Source organism: Homo sapiens, chromosome 4 (assembly GCF_000001405.40).
Source record: "Homo sapiens chromosome 4, GRCh38.p14 Primary Assembly".
Classification (NCBI taxonomy): Eukaryota; Metazoa; Chordata; class Mammalia; order Primates; family Hominidae; genus Homo; species Homo sapiens.
In genome coordinates, this window is record NC_000004.12 from 119,021,088 (window position 1) to 119,046,000 (window position 24,913).

At 38.1% G+C, this 24,913-nt stretch overlaps 1 protein-coding gene across 7 annotated transcripts in view, besides 1 other annotated feature; it reads left to right on the forward strand.

Moving 5' to 3' along the window:
- The window catches only part of SYNPO2 (synaptopodin 2), a 210,567-nt gene that overhangs the window by 170,407 nt on the left and 15,247 nt on the right, over nucleotides 1-24,913 (forward strand). For 2 of the 7 annotated variants that reach the window (NM_001286754.2, NM_133477.3), the window contains exons 2-4: nucleotides 2,343-2,494; nucleotides 5,540-6,351; nucleotides 8,758-10,940. In NM_001286754.2, coding sequence (NP_001273683.1) covers nucleotides 2,343-2,494; nucleotides 5,540-6,351; nucleotides 8,758-10,940 — 3,147 coding nt within the window. Of the gene's footprint in view, nucleotides 1-2,342; nucleotides 2,495-5,539; nucleotides 6,352-8,757; nucleotides 22,923-24,913 lie in introns of those variants that run through there. The other 5 variants (NM_001128934.3, NM_001128933.3, NM_001389263.1 and 2 more) reach the window with 5 other exon arrangements.
- Nucleotides 10,585-11,084: an enhancer, noted in NCBI's record as "H3K27ac hESC enhancer chr4:119952827-119953326 (GRCh37/hg19 assembly coordinates)". NCBI's record gives its function as "activates a minimal SCP1, AML or CMV promoter by ChIP-STARR-seq in naive H9 embryonic stem cells {active_cell/tissue: H9 hESC(naive)}" and the evidence as "EXISTENCE:reporter gene assay evidence [ECO:0000049][PMID:30033119]".

Here is a 24,913-nt window from a genome sequence, read left to right on the forward strand (position 1 = left end):
GATATTGATGTGTCAGCAGTGGGGAAGGCTTTCTACAGATTGTAATTTATGACAATAGAAGGATGGGCCCTCCCAGAACAAAACTAATTGAATCACTTCAAATTTCAATAATGCCATTGTTTTGGCTCTTAAAGGTAATATTTTGCTTTCAAGAGTATCATTTAAAATGAACCTCTAGATGTAAACTTTAAACCTATATGAGTTAATATATGAATTATCATTTAAGACTTTAGCAGGAATTAGTGGGCAGCTTTTAGAGATAAATTGAAATACATTTTGTGCCCAGTCAGAAATAAGCCTAGCCATGAAAACATTGTTCAAGAAGTGCTGCTTACCTGGTGTTCACCTCTCTAGGCTCAGAAGCTTTATTTTAATAAAAAGGAATAATGCTTGGTAGAAAAAAATCTAGAAAAGTATCTTAAAGTATTCTTAAATTTGAGACTGTATGGTCATCATACATGGTTCATTGAGAACAATTGAACTCATAAAATGAAATCTAAGCACATTAGTATCACTTAGGGCTCCAGCAGGAAATAGGTGGCATGCTCAAAGAAGAATTCAATATAATGCAATGCAGAGACTAAAGGTAGTCTTAAGGGAACCAACAAATGATAATGAAGCACCCAGAAATCCAGAGATTGAGAGCAGGAAACTATTATCACTCATAGGCCCAAAGGTACAAGGAGATAATGTGTGTTGTTGGAACCTAACGAGTTAAGGCAATGATAGAGGGGCAGGCTGACAGGAGCTGCAACTCTCTAGACTGAAGAACAGAGCCACTGCTAAGCCATGGCCCAGCAGGTCCACCAAGGAGAGCATAGACCTGACCTCTCATTTCCCTTGGTCTTTGATCTCTTACTGGAGTAAGAATATTCCAGTAGATTATGACACAGTGCTTATGGCAGGGCTGCTTTTACTTTCTGCAAAGTAATCTCTTTTTTCTTTCTTTTTTGCTAAAGTTTGCTTAGTACCATGCCTGGAGTAGCTGATTTCAATGAAGCATTTCTCTCTTTGACATATTCCCTAATATCCAGGCTCCCTGGTGCCCCACTATACTGGGATGGTTTTTATCAGTCCATTTAGCTATACAGCTCTCTCCTCAAACAAGTTGCCCCGTCCTGTACCTCCTTCTTATAGTCATGGCGTTTCATTCACCTTGGCAATGGGAAGGATTTTAAAATTTATTGTAATGCAGGAGGTTACTTTCTCACTGGAGTAAAACCTTACAATGTGGAATTATCATCATCATAATAATAATGTTTTAAGACGGGGTCTTGCTCTGTCCCCCAGGCTGGAGTGCAGTGGCATGATCTTGGCTCACTGCAACCTCCACCTCCTGGCTCAAACAATCCTCCCACTTCTCCTGTGTGGCTAGGATCACAGGCATGCACCACCAAGCGGGCTAATTTTTGCATTTTTTGTAGGTTTTTTTTTTTTTTTTTTTTTTTTTTAGAGACAGGGTCTTACCATATTGACCGGGCTGGTCTCAAACTGCTGAGCTCAAGAGATCCACCTGCCTCAGCTTCCCGAAGTGCTGGGATTATAGGCATCAGCCACTGTGCCTGGCCTGAATTATTTATTTTATTTTATTTTATTTTAATTGTATTTTATTTTATTTTATATTTTATTTTATTTTAATTTTATTTTATTTTATGTTTTATTTTATTTTATTTTATATTTTATTTTATTTTATTTTATTTTATTTTTGAGACAGAGTCTTGCTCTGTTGCCCAGGCTGGAGTACAATGGTGCGATATTGGCTCACTGCAACCTCCACCTCCCGGGCTCATGCAATTCTCCTGCCTCAGCCTCCTGAGTAGCTTGGACTACAGGCGCACACCACCATGCCCAGCTAATTTTTGTACTTGTTAGTAGAGACGGGGTTTCACCATGTTGGCCAGGCTGGTCTCGAACTCCTGACCTCGTGATCCACCCGCCTTGGCCTCCCAAAGTGCTGGGATTACAGGCATAAGCCACCACGCCTGGCCTGAATAATTATTTTTAATGCCATCAATGTAAGCCTTTAACATCTTTTTTCACTCTTCTCTATTTTTTATTTCTTTAATTCTGTCTGGTACCTTTACATTGATTTATTTACTTTCTTTTTTCCTGTTTACTTACAATGCTATGAATTAAATGTTCATATTATGGTACATGATAAAGTGTGTGGCTGTGTGTGTGTTCATAAGGTGGTAAGAAGTATTTAAATGGTCTTACAGGTTAACAGGTGAATTAAAATTCAGGGCTGGTGTTACTGTTGACAGATTTGTTTCTCAGAGATGGTGGCTTGCTTTTTACAAATTATATCATTCTACTATGTCTTCTTTTTTTACTCCACTCAGATTCGAAATCAGAGCAAAGCCTCTGGGTCTGGGCTCTGTGAGGGAGATGAAGTGGTTTCCATCAATGGCAACCCTTGTGCAGATCTCACCTACCCTGAAGTCATCAAGCTCATGGAAAGCATAACAGACTCTCTCCAAATGCTCATCAAAAGGTACAACAGATTTGCTGGAATATGTATTTTCTCTTGAAGCTACATGGGAATGATTATAGCTTTTACTACATATATAACTTGTCATTTATGGAGAAATTAGGGGTGCTTTGTAGAAGGTTAGGTATAGTTAAACAGAAACACCACTGTGTTTGAAAAATAGTCAATTCTAGTCAACCAAACTTTCTGGTTAATTGAGAATTAAGTTGAAAATGCTTGTTTCAAGCACTTTGTTGAAAATCTTAGGTATTTTAGGCTCCTTCCTTAGAAAGCTCAGTATATTGAGCATAACTTAATATTTCTTTGATAGGTCAAGATTTTGTGATGGATCAGAATCACTCAATTGTAATTATCAGATGCACAGATGAATTAAAAATGTTTAAATATTAGACCATTAAACTGTACAATTTTTCATTAAAAGGATGCTTAAGAGACAGAAAAGAGAAACAACAACAAAAACTTACAAGCAGCCGGATTTCTCCAGTAAAACCAATATTTGAGGATGGACAAAAGCAGATGATTAGAATAAGGTTTTTGCACGACCAACACAGGTCATTTGGGAATTCAATCTCTTCAAATACCACCATCCCCACATAGTTGTTTAACAATATAAAAGAAACCTTTAAATGTAAAAAACAAAAGAAAACAATGAGGACAATAACAAGGAAAACTACAGCATTGACATTTTTATGGTGTACAAATCACAGTACAATCCATACTGATTTTGCAACGGAAGCTCTGGCTATTGCATGATAATGAATCCAGAAAGGAAAGCTTTGGCTTCCTGGAGAGCAGCTTTTAGGAAGATGTCAGAGGACATCTCAAGATGAACCTCAAGGTCCTCCAGGTTTTTCCTCAACTCTGCAGAAACACTACGCACAGTTACCCCTCTGCTAATCATTCAGTATGATTCTGTTCCGGGATGAAAATGAACTCACTATGGCCAAAATCTTGAGACAACAATGGAAATCTAGCATTATTCTTATAATCTAAATATTTACCCATCAAACTCAGTGTTTAAGGCCTTAGAATCCTTCCTTCATGTTATGAAGAGAAAATAAGTTTATAAAATACATAATTTACTAATACATAATTAAATTTATAAAATAAAAAAAATTACAAAGTAAGTAACTAATTGGTAGGATTCAAAGTGGAATCTCAATTGAAAATCAAGTCAAAAGCAATTATTATCATCACCACCACTACCACTATTTTAAATATCTGAATATTGTTTCCTGCAATAAATATTTCTGTCACTCATATCACTGTCATCTATCAGTAGAGGACAAGTGTTTTTACTTTTCCTGAACTATTGCCCAGAGATAGCTCAGTAAGACTATTTTAAAATAACTCCTTTAACATTCCATCTCTATTATCTTGAATGTTCTTAAAATAAGATTTTAAAAATTCTATAATTGTGACACATAAATTGTGGACTTGATGAATACCTATGTAGACTGATGGGAAATGAATGTTTTAAGGCATAAAGCTTTATTCGCTCATGCTTTTATGATATTTACTCATGTCTATTTATTTTACTTCAGCTGCTGATAAATGTTAATATTTATCTGGCCATTTGTCTGTATTGGTCTACAAGGCTGGCATGAATTGAAACTATTCTCTTCTCAGCTTCACAATTGATTGCTAACGTTATTCAAAGTGATTTAATCTACTTCCATCCCAAGGCCTTCCTAAATTAAAACTCTCTGACCTTTTGGTACCCTCAAATTCAGTTTAACAATGTATTTAACATTTTCTACATAATAATGATCTAATTTGCTAACATCATGCTTTTTTAATACGATATTATAATGTTGTATAAATACTGTATTACAGGGAAGCTTTTCCAATTACTTGCGTATAGAGAAAGGTGCATTTTGTTTAACTGTTAGTTTGTTTTCATTTTGTTTAGTTTTGTTTTGCCAAATGCAGTTGAAAGCAAAGGTAGGAGTAAGTATTTTGAGCATTGGTCGGAAATTGCACTACCACATAAATTCTAAGGTAAATTCCTTTGAGTAGAATCCAAGTAGAAGCTCACGCCCTTCAGCTGACGTGCCTGCATGAGTCATAACTGTCTTTTAAGGAAGGAGGAAAGGGGCAAAGATAATTATGCTGCTTCCAAAATTAAAAAAAATACAAATATAAAAAATGAAGGCATTTCCTACAGCTGTTCTGTGAATAATACCTCTAAAAACATTTACAGTTTAAATTAGAGTTTCAGAAAGAAGTTATTTAACTCTTAAACTGACATTGCTTCTTCTCAGAAACCCAAATTTGCACAGACAACTGGGAAGATCAAAATCAAAGAGCTGTGGTGTACAGCTCTAGGCTCCTTAGCTGAGAGATAAAGGAACAGTTTGACTTCAGATATCCTAAAAAGAAAATGCTCCAAGAAACAGATCCAAATAGAAGAAAGGGAGACATCTCAGATTATAAATACTCCATGACTTAATGATTCATTGCAGCACGGAAAGGATTTCTCTTTACGCAAGAGTACTGGGCTGGGTCCACTTATTACGAAACACATGCTCACTGGGGCTTAAAAAACAGCTTCTATTTCATTCCTTTCAAGAAAGCACAGCCTCTAAAAGGACTAGTTGAGTTATCTGTAAGTTAAGATTGATCTGAAGGTGCTGGATATGTTTATGTGACTTCATAATGTCTAGACCAAAACTTAGTCAATAAGACATTGAAATGCTTTGTCACATTCTAGCAAACTCATTATAAGAGATACCCAGATTCCAAGTACTTACAGATAAACGGGATCCATGTAGTTTTTTAAAAATAAAAGCTGAATTTAGGATGGATTCAGGTTTCATAATCTTGTGTAAGAGTTTCTTTGTGCTTTTAAAAAAGTTTATTTGGTATCTCTTTAAGTAATAATATGAACATGTTGCCACCTTCTGTTTTCAAATATGTTGCAACTGACATTTAGAAGAAAATATTTTGACTATATCACATATTAGACATCACAAAAGTGTCAGGAAGTTCTTTGGCAGATGTAACATAGTCTGATTTAAGTGTCTGGAATGATTTTTCTGTGTGCAGACCATCCAGTGGAATAAGTGAGGCTTTGATATCTGAAAATGAAAACAAAAACCTCGAGCATCTCACACATGGGGGTTATGTGGAAAGTACCACCCTGCAGATTCGACCGGCCACAAAGACCCAGTGCACAGAATTCTTCCTCGCCCCTGTCAAGACTGAAGTTCCCCTAGCTGAGAACCAAAGAAGTGGTCCCGACTGTGCAGGCAGCTTGAAAGAAGAAACAGGCCCGAGCTACCAAAGGGCTCCCCAAATGCCTGACTCCCAAAGAGGACGCGTGGCAGAAGAGCTGATCTTAAGGGAGAAGGTAGAAGCGGTACAGCCTGGGCCTGTGGTTGAGCTGCAACTGTCCCTTTCACAGGAGAGACATAAGGGCGCTAGTGGCCCTTTAGTGGCTCTCCCGGGAGCTGAAAAATCTAAGTCTCCTGACCCAGACCCTAACTTGTCACATGACAGGATTGTCCACATAAATTCGATCCCTACTAATGAGAAAGCAGACCCTTTCCTGAGGTCCAGCAAGATAATCCAGATCTCCAGTGGCAGAGAGTTGAGAGTGATCCAGGAAAGTGAAGCAGGAGATGCGGGACTGCCCCGGGTGGAAGTGATCCTCGACTGCTCTGACAGGCAGAAGACAGAAGGGTGCAGGCTTCAGGCAGGAAAGGAGTGTGTGGATTCTCCAGTGGAAGGAGGGCAGTCAGAAGCACCTCCTTCTCTGGTATCCTTTGCCGTCTCATCAGAAGGCACAGAGCAGGGAGAAGATCCACGCTCGGAAAAAGATCACAGCAGACCTCACAAGCACCGAGCGCGGCATGCACGTAAGTTCTGCCTGGGCTTTCAGAAGGGGCTTGGGAGTTGGGGGCATTTTGCTGCTTCTTTGCTTGCATGAGTTTTTCAGCAAGATTTTTCTTATGTTTCTCATTGGCTTAAAGAAATATTTAATTAATGCACAAAATCACAAATGTGAAATTGTGGAGAATACCAATTTCTAAATAGGAAGCAATAAGTCCGAACTTCATATAGATTTAAACATTTTTCATGAATTTCTTTTTATCCCCAAAGGCACAGGAACTGTTAAAGAAAATAATATTGTCAATGTGCCTGTTCATTTTGTTTCAGACAGTTGAAATAGTTCATGTTAAAATAGCATAAGAAAGCACTTGAAGTCATGTGGACTCAGTTTAAATGTCAAAAACTGTTGAGTCTGCTACTGAGAGGTGTCTTTAAAATAAAAGCTCTACCATTGATATCAAAAGCAGATCCTTGTTTTGAAAAAAAATCATTGTGCAGCTTGATGATGCTTGCAGAAGTGAGTTTGACAGACAAGGACATGTGTATACTGAGCAGTTACATGATCCTCTCCGTTGTGTAAGTCTTCATTTGACTGCAAAGTGTTTCATCTACCTTCTAGACACAGAAGTCAGTCTCCAGGGCCATGTGGAGGCATTTAAATGTCTCCAAACATAAAATATATTTAAATTCAGTGCTTTGTATGGCATTTTGTTTTACCCAGGGGAGAGAAGACAGAAAGGAGAATTGGGATAAGAATTGCAGTTAGGTGTTAGGATTTCTATTGTTTTATTTCACGTTTATTTTTGTTTGTTTTTTTTTTTTTTTTTACTAATTTTGGAATTTTATTTGAGGATGTAAAGGCTGACAGGCAAAGGCACTTGACTGTATATATGATACACAATGGCAATGAATTCGGTTATTCAAAGTAGGATATTAAGTCTTCTAACCTATTGTTATTCCTTTCAAAGCATATTTTTAGCATAACCATTTGTAGCTTTATTGGCAAGTGCTGTTAATCATTCCTTATACTTTAAGCATCTGTAGGCCATCTTCACATTTATAGCATATTAAACAAGAGTATTGAGACACCATTCACATACTTTACATGTTGGCAGTGAAGTTAGCAGCAACTGTGCAACTGTGACTGTCAATTTAATAAGTTGTATAACACTAGTCAAAAAAGGAATTCTATTTAGTAATAACCACAGTTTCAACTATTTTTCTCTAGAAAATTCGATCACCAGTAAATGCCTGTAATCATATTATAAAATTATTTCCTTGGATTATATTTTATTTAAAAAAAATTAACCATTAAGTCTGTGACAAAAAGAGCTAATTTTCAATCATAAAATAGTCAAAAATTTTTTCTTAATTTTCCACTTAACTGTTTTGAGGAATTAAAAAATTTAGGGGACTCACAGTCATTATCATTGAAAATATGATATAACTATAAATTATAAATGATAGATGCTATATGTTTAGTTGCTATAATTTGCCACCCATTTCTTTTTTATAATAGTAATAATGAAAGAAAATTTTAAATATTTTTATTTTTATAAAATAAAAATCATATTCTTGTTTTAAATGACTTAATTTCTGCATCAGTTTTTACACAGTTAAGTGGGTCACAAGTCAATTTTTAAATTTCTCCAAGGTTTATTCTTGCTGCAAGGAAAGTAATATTGTATTTCCAAAATAGCAATACATTTACAAACAAATCTGTCTAGAAAACTTTGTAGCTAGAGTTTCTTATATGTATTTACAATAATGTCATATTTTGAATTTTAATTATTGATTCAGTACCTTCAATGATTAATTCAGTGTTTTGAATTTATATTAATCCAGTAGCTGTGAGTGGAAAGATTTGGGGTGGTTGTCAGGGTAAAAAAAGAAAAAAGAGAAAGAAGAAAACCTAAATAGCTAAATTCATTACATTAAAACATTTAGAAAATTTTAAAACATCTTCTTGGGACGCTCCTCCCTTTTTAAGATTCCTGGAAACAGTTTTATATTGACACTTTATTTTAAAATATGGAAGTATGAGATATGTCTCATCTTGTTTTTCAGAAAATATTATGTCTTTAAATTATGTCCTTCTTAATTCTAATTTTATCCTATTAATTGACATTTACTAGCCAGTTTTTATTATTAAAGTGGAAGGATCTCTAGAGAAACAAATGTATGAAACATATATTCTAATCAGCATATATAAAATATTTTTATGTAAACAAATAGAACAGTATATTATTGTAGAAGGAAACATGTTAAGAGAAATAAGAAAAAGAAATGTGTTGGATTCCTTCAAAATTCTGTACTCAATGGCAATTTTTTACATATTTATTTTCCCCCAGGAGAGTTCATTTCTGAGTTGCTGTGGTGTCTTCCTTGAACTCATCAGCTCAATATAATTTTTTTTTTTTTGCTTTCCCTAGGGCTCAGGAGGAGTGAAAGCCTGTCAGAAAAACAAGTGAAGGAAGCAAAATCTAAATGCAAAAGCATTGCCCTTCTTCTAACGGATGCTCCCAACCCCAACTCCAAGGGGGTGTTGATGTTTAAGAAGCGACGTCGGAGGGCCAGGAAATACACCCTAGTTAGCTACGGTACTGGCGAGCTTGAGCGAGAGGCGGACGAGGAGGAAGAAGGTGACAAGGAGGATACATGTGAAGTAGCATTTCTTGGTGCAAGCGAATCAGAGGTGGATGAAGAGTTATTGTCTGACGTTGACGACAACACACAAGTTGTGAACTTTGACTGGGATTCTGGACTGGTGGACATTGAAAAGAAACTGAACAGAGGGGACAAGATGGAGATGTTACCAGACACCACAGGCAAGGGAGCCCTCATGTTTGCCAAGAGGAGGGAGAGAATGGATCAGATCACAGCCCAAAAAGAAGAGGACAAGGTAGGTGGAACGCCAAGCAGAGAACAAGATGCTGCCCAGACCGATGGCCTGAGAACCACGACTTCTTACCAAAGAAAGGAGGAAGAGTCGGTAAGAACGCAGAGCTCTGTGAGCAAAAGCTACATCGAGGTGAGTCATGGTCTTGGCCATGTTCCCCAACAGAATGGCTTCAGTGGGACATCTGAGACAGCAAACATCCAGAGGATGGTCCCCATGAATAGAACGGCCAAACCCTTCCCAGGGTCTGTGAATCAGCCAGCTACCCCCTTCTCGCCAACCCGAAACATGACGAGTCCCATTGCTGACTTTCCTGCACCTCCACCTTACTCTGCAGTCACTCCTCCCCCTGACGCCTTCTCCAGAGGGGTTTCAAGTCCGATTGCTGGCCCAGCACAGCCCCCTCCATGGCCCCAGCCTGCCCCGTGGTCCCAGCCAGCCTTTTACGATTCGTCTGAGCGAATAGCTTCCCGAGATGAGAGGATCTCAGTGCCAGCAAAAAGAACAGGAATATTGCAGGAGGCCAAAAGGAGAAGCACGACAAAACCCATGTTTACTTTTAAAGAGCCCAAAGTAAGCCCAAATCCTGAACTCTTGTCACTCCTTCAAAATTCAGAAGGCAAACGGGGCACTGGAGCTGGAGGTGATTCCGGACCGGAAGAAGACTACCTCAGCTTGGGGGCAGAGGCTTGTAATTTCATGCAAAGCTCCTCTGCCAAACAAAAGACCCCTCCTCCTGTTGCTCCAAAACCTGCAGTCAAGTCCTCATCCTCCCAACCAGTAACTCCAGTTTCCCCAGTCTGGTCTCCAGGAGTGGCTCCCACCCAACCTCCTGCCTTCCCCACATCCAACCCATCAAAGGGCACCGTTGTCTCCTCCATCAAAATAGCCCAGCCTTCTTACCCTCCTGCCCGGCCTGCAAGTACTTTGAACGTGGCTGGTCCCTTCAAAGGACCACAAGCAGCAGTAGCCAGTCAGAATTACACACCCAAACCAACAGTTTCCACACCAACAGTCAATGCTGTTCAGCCTGGTGCAGTGGGACCATCCAATGAGCTTCCAGGAATGAGTGGGAGAGGAGCTCAGCTCTTTGCTAAAAGGCAGTCGAGAATGGAGAAGTATGTGGTCGATTCAGACACGGTGCAGGCCCACGCTGCTCGAGCTCAGTCTCCCACTCCATCTCTCCCGGCCAGTTGGAAGTACTCCTCCAATGTCCGAGCACCTCCTCCTGTGGCCTATAATCCTATCCACTCGCCGTCTTACCCACTGGCTGCTCTCAAGTCTCAGCCATCAGCTGCACAGCCCTCCAAAATGGGCAAGAAAAAGGGAAAGAAACCCCTCAATGCATTAGATGTCATGAAGCACCAACCGTATCAGCTCAATGCATCCTTGTTTACTTTCCAACCTCCAGATGCAAAGGATGGCCTCCCCCAGAAGTCATCAGTCAAGGTCAATTCAGCCCTGGCCATGAAGCAAGCTCTTCCTCCCCGGCCAGTGAATGCTGCCTCACCTACGAATGTGCAGGCTTCGTCAGTGTACTCGGTACCAGCCTATACCTCTCCTCCTTCCTTCTTTGCAGAGGCCTCCTCACCAGTCAGTGCATCCCCAGTGCCTGTGGGCATTCCCACCTCGCCAAAGCAAGAATCAGCCTCATCATCTTATTTTGTGGCACCAAGGCCAAAGTTCTCAGCCAAGAAAAGTGGTGTCACAATTCAGGTGTGGAAACCATCTGTTGTGGAAGAGTAATCTTGTAGCTGAAGCTGAGTGTCCACTTTGCTTGAAATGAATTGTTTGCAGTGTTTCTTGAGTCCCTGAGAATGCCTAGCAAAGTCCTCAACTTACTTAATTTCAGATATGTCACCTCCTAATCTGGGTCCAAGGAGTATAATATTTTTAATGAGTCAAAAATCCAACTCAGATTGACCTAAAATATATTTATCTTCTTTGCACACTTAAAAAATCCAGGAGCACCCCAAAATAGACATGTACCGTTATATTAAGTAAGCAGGAGACTTAGGATTTGTGCTGTAGCCACAAGAAAGACAGTGATCAGTGATATCAAACATCAGGAATCAGCCTTTATGTAACATAACAGCTGTCCTCCTATGGTGAAAGGTTCAAATGTAGTGAAGGTATAACCTATATTGACTGAGATTTCCCTTTTAGGTAGTGCCTTATCTCTATTACTAGTGTTAAAGGAATAAGGAATCTATGAAGGACAGGGAGCAGCTCTGGTCTGTCAATCTCAGCCACCTGTTTGATATCACAGAGAAGATACTCGGAGGATTGTTGGAATGTATATAGTTTAGTAAGAAGTGGGTAAGAAAGAGGGTCTTAATTACTGAGCACTTATTATGTATTAGGTTCTTTGCCAGATGTTTTTACATATATAAACTCATTTCAGAAAACTTATTTAAAGTAAATGGGGCCGGGTATGGTGGTTCATGCCTGGAATCCTAGCACTTTGGGAGGCTGAGGTAGGAGGACTGCTTGAGGCCGGGAGTTGGAGACCAGCCTGAGCAACATAGTGAGACCCTGTCTCAATAATAATAATAATAATAGTAATAATGAAGTAAATGGGATAAGGAAAGAAGGATAATTATCTTTAAAGGTTGATTCCCACCCTCCCTCCCCAGTTACTTAAGGAACTAAGTGAGTACATCTCCAGTTGCCCATGAAAGCATAAGTTTGTTTTCCTCAGCTGAGGCAAGTGGTAGAGTATACAGGATAACGAAGTAACATGTAAAAGGCAGGACGCACATAAAGGTGTACATGGCTATTGTTTCACCTGGAGAAACCACATGATTGGGACCTGAAGGTTTACTGACTGACTACAGGGGCTGATTGTGAAGCACGAGGAACCCCATGTGTGTGGAGACTGTAGGGTGAGAGCACACAATTATTAGCATCATTTCTGAGTGATCTCACAGATTTTTTTTCTTGTGTTTGCTTTGCTTTTTGACAACTGCTTCTCCCACGTTCCTTGCAATTCTATTCTCTCACCTTCACTTTACTATTTGTATTCGATGGACCAGGATAATTCAGGCAAGGTTACCTTGTAAACTTTAATTGGCCACACACCATGTTGTCACCCAGCTGGCTATGAAGTGAATAATGGTACTGAAAGTAAACCTGAAGACCTTTCTCAGATCTATTTTAAGTCTGAGTCTGACCAACCATGGAAAATATTCGACATGAATTAATGTAGAGAACTATAAAGCATTTATGACAGCTCCAAGAAAAATCATCTACTCTATGCAGGAGATATGTTTAGAGACCTCTCAGAAAAACTTGCCTGGTTTGAGGGTACACAGTACCATTTTAATCTTCTGAAAATATCTGTATTCCTGCTCTTTTTCTGCTGTCACTGTCAATCTGCTATATTTTTCACTATCCTATTAAAATATTACTGTCTCCTTTATCTGTTCAATGTCCATATTTTAAAAAAATCTTCCTTGTATGAGCTATTCTGATCTAAATAATTTCTCTGATATTTCTCTATATGGCTCCCACAACAATTTCATTGTTGTTAGCATATCTATTTCTCCATACATTGTAAAACTGTAATCCTTAGGTATTTCTAAAACATAAAGAGGAGAATTAAGTCAGCTGCAGAACAATGGGGCTGATTCTTCTGCTTTTTCTCTGGAAAATCTTTCATTGCTTTTGGTGGAAATTTACCTAGAGGTTACAACCACAGGATGTAGCTTGGTCTCTTATTTGCCTTTTTGGGAAACCAATTAAGATTAATACAGGATAAAGGAAAAAAGCAATCTATTCATTATATAACACAGTTGTTTGTATTACTTGTTCCCTGCAAAGGAAATCTGTTGAATGCTTGCATTTTGAATTCTTTTCTAATAGAACAACCAAAAAAGGCTTCTTATGGTGCAGCAGGAAAAAAGATCATTTTTATAGCTTTGCATTCTTAACATAGCATTTAAAGAGCGGCATGAATTAGAGGAAAGACATGGAACACACAGGTAGTCGGTTTGAGATCATCGGCTTAAAAGTATCCTAGGATGGTAATGACCCAGAAGTATTTCCAGTTGTCTAGTGGTGTGGTATGCAGGAATGAGAAGTGTTTTCTTTCCATTTCCTGTTGGACAGGTGGCAATCTTAGCAGAGCCACTATTTGGAGTTGATAACTAAAGATGCAAATAACATGACTATGCCTTCTGGTCATCCTAGGACTATTTGGAGTTCTCCAAAACCTTGTAAGAGGCATGTCAGGCATGCAGTAAAAGCATCTACAACTTCAGCTGGGCACTGGCAGCATAGGTCTCATCTTGGACCATACAGTCCCACTTTATAGAAGAGGGTGGAAGTTCTCCAAAACAATATCCACAACAAAGTCTGACCTCACTCTGAGGGAGATGGGAAGTGGGAGGAAGAAGGACTAACCAGCTCCCTGGAGTAAGAGGAATTTGCTTTCCCTGTCTGCCCACCAGGGGCTATATGTGCCACCTTTCAGGTTGGGGCCAAGGAAGTGATGTCAGTGTGACAGAAGGGAGAGTTAGACCTCCAGACGTCAGCCTCCCTCCCATGGGGTACATTTTCAATCTGAGTGTTGTTGCCTTAGCTGTGTTGGTATTAGCTTGATTGGTTGGTCCGCTGGTTATGAGGTGTAGGGAGGCAGTTTTTGTTTAGTTTTTAGGACTTTGCCTCTTCCTTTGTCCTTAGCATAATTTCTAGGCAGAGCATCCACGAAGTCGGTTTTCATTGCCAGCTCAAGAGCGACAATCATTTACGAGTTCCTATGTTATGTTAGGTGCCTTATGTATATTATCCCAAATCCACTGCATGGTTTAAATACAGGCACTGGAATATAAATGAAAAAGGTCATTACAGTCACTGACTTTCTGCAGGACCTTAAACATTTCTCTTTCCACAAGTTTCCCCTTAATCATGTGTCAAACCTCTCTTCCTGACGGGAATGTTGTGCTATAATGAATCTGCATAACGCTTGGGATTCTAGGAGGAAGGAAGGTTCCATGGACATGTAAGTACAGCATATTCCCCTCAGTCTTCTAGGAGGGCAGAGTGAATCCCAGAACTGGTAAGATTGGGAATCTGAGCATTGCCACTTTAATCTTAGAATATTTATCATTTTGACACATCCTGTTTTTTAGAGAGGAAAACAAACACAGTTTCTGCATTGGTAGTGTAAAGCATACCTTGTTAGGAACGTGTTTTGTAAGACACATTTGGGTTGTCACTCTAGAGCATGTCAAACTTTGTACTTCAAAATATATTTAGTATGATTGTTAGTGGTAACATATATCAAGGCTTTGAATTAACTGTTTTATTTAATTTTCACAAGAAGCACTTATTTTAGCCATAGGAAAACCAATCTGAGCTACAAATAGTTCTTTAAAATAAGCCCAGGTTATTTAGCTATTCTAGAAAGTGCCGACTTCTTTCAAGAAGCAGGCATTGTAGGACAGCTGAGAATTATCACATAGCCTAAATTCTAGCCTGGCAGCAAGAGTCACATCTGAGATGTCCAAAAAAAAAAAAAAAACACCTGATCTACATTGAAAGGGGGTAGACTAACGTATGTGAGACCATTTTCCTATTTGCAGTTACAAGGTTAAAGAACTTTGAAGGTCATTCGGCTGCTAAGAGGCATGTCGAACACTCTGTGTGGCTCTTTCACAGTAAACCCTCCTAAGAGCAGAAGACACATGGCTGTTAGTGTCTGCGTTTAGATTTAATTTCTCAAATAAAGGCCCTTGGCTGCGTATCATTTCATCCAGTTATAAACTAGGGCTCCTGCAAGCACCCCCATTCTAAGGGTGAATTATTGAAATCAGTTGCTATTTGATGAGTCACAACTGGCCCAGCAGGCAGGGCATTTGAAGTCATGGTCATCAAAAAGAAATGATTGTTTTTTGAAAAGCTAAATGCTTAAAATGCTTCTAGAGGGAAGTCGTGGGGCGTGTGCTCATTCTCTTTAAAATCAGGGTTGTTGAGTTTGTTTTTAAACATTTTTATAAGTTCATGAGAAAAAATATATAAATTCTAAGAACCAACACTGTATTCCCAGAAACATGACCCTCGCTGGTCTTGGGTCCACATATCATTGGACTCTGGGGGACACAAAGATGCCTGTGACACTTTGGTGTTGCCGAGTTAGTCAACAATTATTCTGGGAAAAAGCAGAATTGAATTCTTCTCTAGATGTCCTACCAGGGTTGGCCAAGGGCCACAAAGCAGGCTAATAAATTCCCACAGGATCCAGACACCAGGCAAAATTGCTCTAAGAAGCCAGTTACTGTCATCCCTCTATGGTTCTAGAAAAAATAGTACAAAAATGACAGGTCATCCTATGAGCGTCATGCCAATGAAACCCCATCTTCTGGAGAAGCCCTTGAATCAGAATTATCTTTTTTCTTGATGTCGTCAGATGCAGCCAGTTTCTTAATTTTTTTAAAAACTGTATGTTTCTGTGGTATGTATATTTGTACACCTAACTACCTGGCACTTGGAAATCACAGCACTACTCAGAGGCAATTGAATAAAGAGAAATTTAATTTTAAATATCAAGTCCTGTCAAACATTTCTCAAACTTCTGATTTTATCAAAGGTTTGCCAGCCAATAAAGTGCATCCCAAGTATACAGGGGAGAAAGCTAGACTCCTACAGGGTCCTAGAGTTTAAGTAATTTTTTTGTTATTAATATAGGTAATAATTTTTCTAATTTTTATTTTTTGGTTCCAAATGTAAAGCTCCTTGTGTTTACCTCTGTTTATGTCATTCTTGACATGTTTATCTAAATTATGTGTGCTCTGTGACAGGTGAAATGTAAATCTGGGATCCATAGTCAAGATATCATAAGGACCTACTTCCCAGCCTACCTTTCTTCCTCTACCTGATAATGATAATACTCAAAATAACAACATTCAAAGGAAACACAAAGAAATCCTGCTTTCACATCTCCTATTTCTTGGGCTCCTTAATAACTACTGATGGTTTGTTCATGAAAAAAAATTTTTAAATCAAAAGATTGTACTTGGCCCTGAGTTGAAAAAATTTCAAAAATCAAAAGTTTGTACTTGGCCCTGAGTTGAAAAAAAAAATTCACATTCTAAGAATAAACAGAAAAATGTTCTTCTTGGAAGTAAATAACAAAAGCCATAGTGTTTTCATTTGTCTTTTCTTCAGGATACACGGTAGAAGTCAGAGAATCTTTGATACTTTTATTTGGTGCAATAATCAAGGCCATGCAACAACCCAAAATCAAGCATTTTGGTTCAAGTCAGGATGACATGAGTGGGGACAGAAGCTGTGGCAGTCATTCAAATAATCTCATGGGTCCTGAGGAAAAGACAGGAGTTAATGTATTAAGTTTCTACTATATGCAGGAACTGTGTTAAATATTTTACATAAGTTTTGATAATAGCTAACATTAGCTGAGCACAAAATTTGGGCCCTGATTTGTGCTGAGTATCTTTCACAGATTACTGCTTTTAATCAGCAGTCCTTGTGAGCTAGGTATGATCATTATCCCCATTTTATAGATTACAGATGAGATTCTGAGGCACAAAGAGGCTAAGTAACTTGCCAAAGATCATACGATGTTAAGTAATGGCCCCTGGATTCAGTCTGCAGCCTGAATTCTTAACCAATTATACTGTGATTTCATTATTCTTCAGAATTACACTAAAAAGAAGGTATTATTCCCATTTTACAGATGAGGTATCTAAGCTCAGAGAAGCTAAACAACTTGTGCAACAATCACTAAGCTTATAAGCAGTGGATTAGGGTTAGATTTAGATATTTGTCTGGCATCCAAACCTGTGCTCTCCCTACAGTACCACATGGTTTCCACAGTCTCATCAGACCCCGGAATTTCACTCCCTGAGACTGCTTAATTGTGAATTTCCCAAACTGATTCACCAAGAGCCTACTGTCTCTGCTTTGTAGATAGCTTTGACCACATTCAATGACATTAGGAAAGACTCCATTTCCCAAGATGGCTCAGAAAATCAGATGCTATGACGCATGTTGAAAGTGAAAACCCATCTCTGAGAAAGAAGCATCTGTTTTATTAGTAAAAAAAAAAAATGAAATTTACAGCAATGTTGTGTGACTTCTCAAAATTCTTTCATTTTCTTATTTCAGAATGAATAGTGTTGTTCGTTGGCTGGGAATGGGGAAGAATGTGATTTTTAAAAATAAAGCATAATCAAACTCTGCATAAAAGGAAGTGCTCCCTTTGGCTTTCTGCCATTTTAACTAAATGTAACTCAGGGAACTTTCTTATTAAGTAGTGAATCAGCACCTAGCATGGCTTGCTACTAAACCAATAATAACTTAAGGCATTTCAACAAGAATAATTCTAAACAGAATAACGCTGAGGGAGTCACAAGTTTTCAGTATTTCAGACTACACTCTGAAAAAGAGTTACCCCTGGAATCTTAGAGTGTCACGGTGCCAATCCCAGTCAGGACAGCAGTCAAGTGCATGAGGCAGCAAACCCTTCCCACCTCAAAGATTCCTCAGTGGAAGATTTCTCAACAATTATTTCTGTCAAAGGCTTCCCAGCAAGGACACTTTTAAACCTTACATTTTTTCCAGTGGTTTTTTTTTTTTCCTTTTATATATCATTGTTATTTTGAAAACATCTCCTGAGGAACTAGTGTGATAGATTCTAAACATGGGTTTGGAACAGTCCCATCACCAACTTCAAAAAAAGAAGATGTGAGCTTCTAGGTTAATTGTAAAAACTCATTACATTTGCAGAGCTTTATTGACTTAATTTAAAATCATAGAACCACTAATAAGGTAACAATTATGGGGGCTTAAGATGTGCTAGGTACCACTCTAAGCACTTTTTTGGTCACCACAAAATGATGAAAGTATGATGTAGGTACTATTATCATCCCACTTTAAGATGAGAAAATTGAGGTAAAGAAAACTTAAGGAACTTGTGTAACATGGTAGGGCTAAGCCTCGGGACCCAACAGTCAAACTCTATGGCCATCATCTAATCACAAGGCTATACTACCTCCCCTGATTGCAAGAAGACTCAGGTCACAGGTAAAAGGAACTGCTCATCAGAAGTGATGAGTTTTACATGTCTCAGAGATAACTCCAAAGTTACACTAAACCTTCTAAATCAAAATAAGAAATAGTGCAACATCTTAGAGTTTGGTAGCTCCAAGCAATAGACATTTTTAAACAGGGTGCATGGGGAAAAGCTGTAGTTTTTATCTCCATCAGCCTATTTGCTTATTACAACTCAATAATGGCGAAGGGAAGCTCAACATTTTGCTGGTTTCTGTTGAACAAATTCCCACAGTGCACTAGACCACACGCCTCAAACACCTACCGCTTCCAGCCAACCAGCATCACATATTACCAGAGTTATGGTAATTTATACCTGGCAAATAAAGGAAGAACAGAATAGTGATGAGAGAAACCCTCAAATTTCAGTAACAATAATGCAGAGAATAAGGTTCCTTCCAATTTTTAAATTAAAAAGAAGACAAGACTTTTTTTTAATTTAGGAAAAGCAAAAGGTAATCATGTCTTAAATGAACTTCACATACTATTAGATGAGATAAGGTGTGTAAACCTTGAGCCCACAAGAAGTACATTGGTAGTGATTAAGAGTGTGGGCTCTAGGGCCGCGCTGCCTGCCTCTGAGTCCCAGGCCTGCCTCCTGCTGGTTGGGAGACTTTAAACAAAGGATTCAGTCGCCCTGTGCTTCAATACCTCAGCTGTGAAACGAAGACAATAATAGGTGTACCTCACAAGTTGTTATGAAGATTAAATGAAACAATATGCATTTTGTATATAAAACACTGCCTGGCACAGAGAAAGTATTCAACACATGTTAGCTATTATTATTCTTCTAAGGGGCACTCAATAAACAATAGCTACTATTTTAAAAACTTCCAATGAGGAAAACACAATTAAACAAGTTCTTTTGTGTTCTCTGTTAATATGAATCCCAGTTTGAGACCCACAACTAAAATAGGAAAAGTAGAAGGAGTGTCGCTATAAATTTCACATTGACACAAGAAATCTATTCCCAGGAGTCGTTGAGAGATCTTTGTTTCTTCTCTTTTTTCTTCTTACTGAAGTTTATATGTTTACATTCCTCTGTATTCAGCCTGTTTGTCCATTTTTTCCTGCTTTGTGTTCATCTATTGTGCCAGCATTCTTTTCGTGGTATACAAAGATGAGATCAGATTCAAAAAGACTGGTTCAATATTTTTATAAAATAACATCAGCTTTGAGCCTCTACTATAAAGACACTGTTTTCAGTTCAAAGTACCAATGTTAAATAGAATGAATGTAGTGGACTTAGTAATATGAAGAGAGCTCTTCTGGGGAAATGTTTGTAAACCAAACATATTCTCTAAACAGGATAGTTGGTATCCTGAGTAACCTGGTAGCATAGTTGAAGCTTAAATAGGCCTATTACACTGAAAGTGGAGCAGTTGGCAACCCTATCCCTGAGACTACCCCACTTCAGACCTGCAACAGTTGGGCTGACCTAGGAGGGCGCAGCTCACAGCTGTCCTTATCCCTCCTTTCCACACTGTCCTAGGACAAAGGGTCAGCAACCTGGCCTTTTTAGAGTAATTGATCCCCTTGCCTGAGAGGCATGATCACTTTCCAAAAACAGAAAGAGTGAAACCTCGGCCTGAACAGAGCAAACTCCCAGCTCAGGGCAAGTGATGAAAAACAATTCTAAGAAGCTGAGCCACTGACATAGGGAGGAACTTAATATTCCAGCTGCCTTTCAAACCCAGGGAATTTTTGTGGGTTTTCTGGTACTTCTAGAATCCTTCTGAGTCAGAAGCAGAAGTCAAGACTCATCTTGAAGATAAAAAATCAAAACAAGCTGAGATTCTGAAAATGTTATCTGAATCCAGAATAGCTTTTGTTTCAAATGCAATTGAATTGATTTAGTCTTGCTTTCCTTTTGTGCCATTTAATTACATTTAAAAATAAAGCAAAACTAGGCCTCTTACTGTACTAAAAACCCCTTTGTTCTTTTTTCACCTAGCATATCTAACACTGATAAAGAAATGTTCACAAAACCATTTTCTAGAGCTAAGAATCTCTAAGGAATTGGTTGAACTAATATAATGTACTAATTTAAGGTTTCATTGCAATCCTTCCACAATTAGATCTTTGGTTTGGAGTTTTTTTTTTAATTCACACTCAGAGTCTGTTGGTTGTGGTTGGATTACTTATTACTGTTTAACAAATGGTGCAGATCATAATTCTTCACGTAAGTCCAATATGGGCTAGATTTTGAATTCTGCATTATGAAATACTCACTGAAATGTCACAACTCATTGTGGGTGGTATTACTGAAATAAACAGCAACACTAAATATATTACTTAGAACTTTTAATTTTAATTTTACATTGAATGAACTAATATGATTTCCTTTATATACAGCACTTTAGTATGAGCAAACTATTCCCTTCGTAGTGTAACATATAGCTTTCCACTTTTTGTTCCTAGTGTAAAATTAAGATTTCCCCACCTTAGAGATAGCCCCACCTTAGAGATTCTGATTTACTAGGTTTGGGTGGGACCTAGGAATTTGTTTTTGTAACATACAACCCAGGTGATTCTGATGCTAATGGGCTGTGAACTACACTTTGAATAACACTTTTCTAACATGCAAACCACTTAAATCAACTTTATTCTTTAAAACCCATAAATAGTTTTCCTGTTTATCCAGTCAGGGACAGCCAGACTTGTAAACTGCACCTGCTTCCACAGTCTTAGTGCCCCGTCTAAAAGGAACAGGCAGGCGCTGAAGCACTCATCTTGCCGATTTTATTTCAAACGTCCAGGAGATGGCAGCAAACTCTCCTTCCCTCTCAGTGCTTCACAGGCAGCCATTCTAAAGCTCGTTGCATTACAATTTGCTTTGAATATTCTTTTTTTAAAAAAGACAAAAGACTAAAGGGGGCCTTGAGACGTGATTTTTATCTGACCCCCTGCTTCTAATCAAGAATGAGTATAAATATTTCTAGGGATAGAATAGAATGATACAATTTTATTATCTAGAAAAGAGATTGAATTTCCTTGGCTATTTTTTCTTATCTCTGGGGAAAAAGATTGTATGACTTCCCTTGGCTGTTGGGCCCTAGACTCTGTTATCTCCAAATCCAAAATATTCTTACTAATAACTAGCTTAAATCTATCTGGCAGTAATCTAAACATTCTTATTTTGGGATCTAGGCTAATGGAAAATTTTGAAGCACTTTGAATGCTTATTAGCTTTTTAAAATGAAAATAAATACGATTATAAAATTTTCAAAAGAAAAAGGAAGTTCATGCACTTTATGCATCATAGGGAAAGAGCCCAATATTTTTGTTTAACTTTAACATTAATCTTGGCAAATAGAGTAGTATGTCAACAAAATGCAAAATCAGTCAGAGGCTGCTTATATGTTACAAGAGTGTACGGAACAAAGAAACAGGCAGACCCACTTGGTGACGGCTTTGATCCTAACAAGCACATTGTTTTCAAAACTTTGAGGCACTAAAGTTTATTTCTAAAACAGAAAAGATGGTGACGTGTTGGAAGTTCTGTGATGTGAAATATATGTTTGTACATTTACCAGTGGGAGGAGAAAAGACTAATGGGAGAGCTGGATATTATAAATGATGGGTTAATGCTGGAGCCTAGGTCACTGCACAGGTTTGATGCCATGTGGTCAATGAATGACTGATCTGTTCATTGTATTTTGTTTGTTTGGTTGGTTGTTTTTTTTCTTTTGTTTTTGTTTTGTTTTGTTTTGTTTTTAGACAGAGTCTCGCTCTGTCGCCCAGGCTAGAGTGCAGTGGCACCATCTCGGCTTACTGCCATGTTTTTTTTTGTTTTGTTTTTTGTTTTTGTTTTGGATAATTGCTTAAGAATTTAGACACACATACTACTAAAGGATCTCTCTTTTCCTCTCTTTCTCTCAAATGTGTATTGATGAGGGCCTATCCATTTTAGTCTCCCCAGAAGTTACTTTTTATCTTAGGCTAAGATTACATATCCATAGCAGTTAAGAGGGCTGATGTAGTATTTTAGCTAATTCATAATATTTTTGTAAATTCATCAATGCATTTGCATGAATTAATACTAAAAGTGAAAAAATTGTTTAACAATTGTAATAGTCAATAAATACCTAACATCAAATCAAAATGAAGGCAAACTTTGGGATGGGGAGAAGTCAGGAGAATACTAAAGAATGAGATCCTTTTAATAAATGTGTGGTCTACATGGCAAAATTTGCTGTAGTATTAACATACAATGTTATCTCAAGACAATTATACATTGCAGCTTCATGAATGCATTAAGAAAGCTATGCCGGCCAGGCGCAGTGGCTCACGCCTGTAATCCCAGCACTTTGGGAAGCTGAGGTGGGTGGATCACTTGAGGTCAGGAGTTTAAGACCAGCCTGGTCGACATGGTGAAACCCCACCTCTATTAAAAACACAAAAATTAGCTGGGCGTGGTGGCACATGCCTGTAATCCCAGGTACCCGGCAGGGTGAGGCAGGAGAATTACTTGAACCTGGGGAGCAGAGGTTGCAGTGAGCCCATATCGTACTGCTGCAGTCCAGCCTGGGTGACAGAGACAGACTCCGTCTCAAAAAAAAAAAAAAAAAAAAAAAAAAAGCTATGCAAATAAAAACCAGCTGTAATAGCAGCTATAGCCATGGGCAAAATTAAGTATTTGATCTCTAATTTCGTATGTCTGATAAGTAGACACACATTCCAATAACTCCCGAGACATCCTTTCAGTGATTAATGACAGACTACAACTATATCTGGAATTAGTGTTTTCAATGGAAGTAAATGCTGCTTATTCTGAAGAAATGTAACTGGGATACTTCTGATAAAAGATGTTTCCTAAGTTTCCCATTTGTATTTGAAAAGCACATGATCGTGACCATCATTGTATACTTCTCTTTAACCCATGTTTCTCCTCCAGCAAAACAATCACACATTTGAAAATCCCACATAGTTTATGGCATCTCCATGTCTCTAAAATGAAATGACATACATGAAATTATTGTGTAAATTCCCTCAAACAGGAAAGATATCATTAAATAAAACTTATCACTTGGACCAGAGATGTGATAAAGGAATTGAGCATAATTTTTTTCTATTCTGTGCTTAAGAAAACAAGCTGTTGATGCCTTTCCTGATGAAGAGCTGGATTTATGATTCCTAATTTTATTTTTATTTATTTTATTTTTGAGATGGAGTCTCACTCTGTCGCCCAGGCTGGAGTGCAGTGGCGTGATCTCAGCTCACTGCAACCTCCACCTCCCAAGTTCAAGTGATTAAGATTCCTAATTTTAAACCTCACTCTGGGGTCATGTTTTTGACCAGGAAAACATAAATATGATAGGGAGTAAATCTTACATTTCTCAAAGAACAGTAGGTTAAACAATTTCCCCAGGGCCCAGGATATTAATCAAAGGTTCCATTTAATAAGCTTAGAAACATAGTGGACAGAAAAGCAGTTACAAAGGCCAACTCAGTCATTTTCCTCATCCTGTATTCTCCACATCTTTGTGAAATTATGTTGTCACACACTGTATAGTTGCTGTGTCTTCGTCATTGCCATTAACTCGCTTTGAATTGTCAGAGATTTTTAATGTAATTAGAAGTCGTGACAGAGGATGCTTCTAAACACATCAGTGGGAAGTTTTGGGAATGTTATTGTGCAGAGGCCAAATCAAGTTTGTTACATGGTATGCACACATTTCTTAAGAATCCTTGTTGTTAACATCATAACTGATAAGATTTTTCTCTAAAAAAGCAAAAGGCATTTTAATTGGGAAATAATTTTGCTTAAGGGCTATTAGCTCCACTTCAAATAGCAGTCACATAATTATAACTGAATACAATACAAAACATGTTAGTTTTCTGTACTGATAATCATTACTCTCATAATAAATTAAGTGCTTACCATGTGCCAGGTACCAACATTTTTCTCTACAAAAACTTCCCACATGCTGGATGCAGTGGCTCACTGGAAGCAACTTGAGAGCCTGAGGTGAGAGGATGTCTTGAGCCCGGGAGGTTAAGGCTGCAATGAGCTATGATAACACCACTGCTCTCTAGCCGGGGTGATAGAGCAAGACCCTGTCTCAAAAAAACAAAAACCCAAAAAACTCCCACAAGGTCAAAAGATTGTTTATTTTAAACAAGATCAACATTCTTTGTTTATTATGAAAATTACTTGTTTCTCCATAGAAACTGACGAAGTCTGAACTTTTTATATATACTATTCACTTTTTCTACCGTGGGAATCTAAATGAATGACGTTTACTATTTAAATCTTTTGAGGAAAGAGAGAACTTCAGAAAATATTTTGAAATGTGTTTAACATTTATTTTTTATGTTTGAACCAATTAAACTAGACTTTTATGAAAATAAACTTAAATAAGGCTGTTCCTCAAGAATTATAAAAAATTAAAACAGCAATCCCAACTACTTAAATAGAACACAGTCTATATTAATACAAGTATTGTCACAGGCTCTAACTTGTAGAGTGACATACTTCTTTTTTGAGAATAAAGAAAGGTAAGAGGGTAAAAATTGCTGGTATAGTAGTTTTTTCTGTTAACAGAGTTAATGCCTTAACATACATTATTTAAATAAAATTTTATTACCTATAGCTTTACTTCTCCAACTTCCCT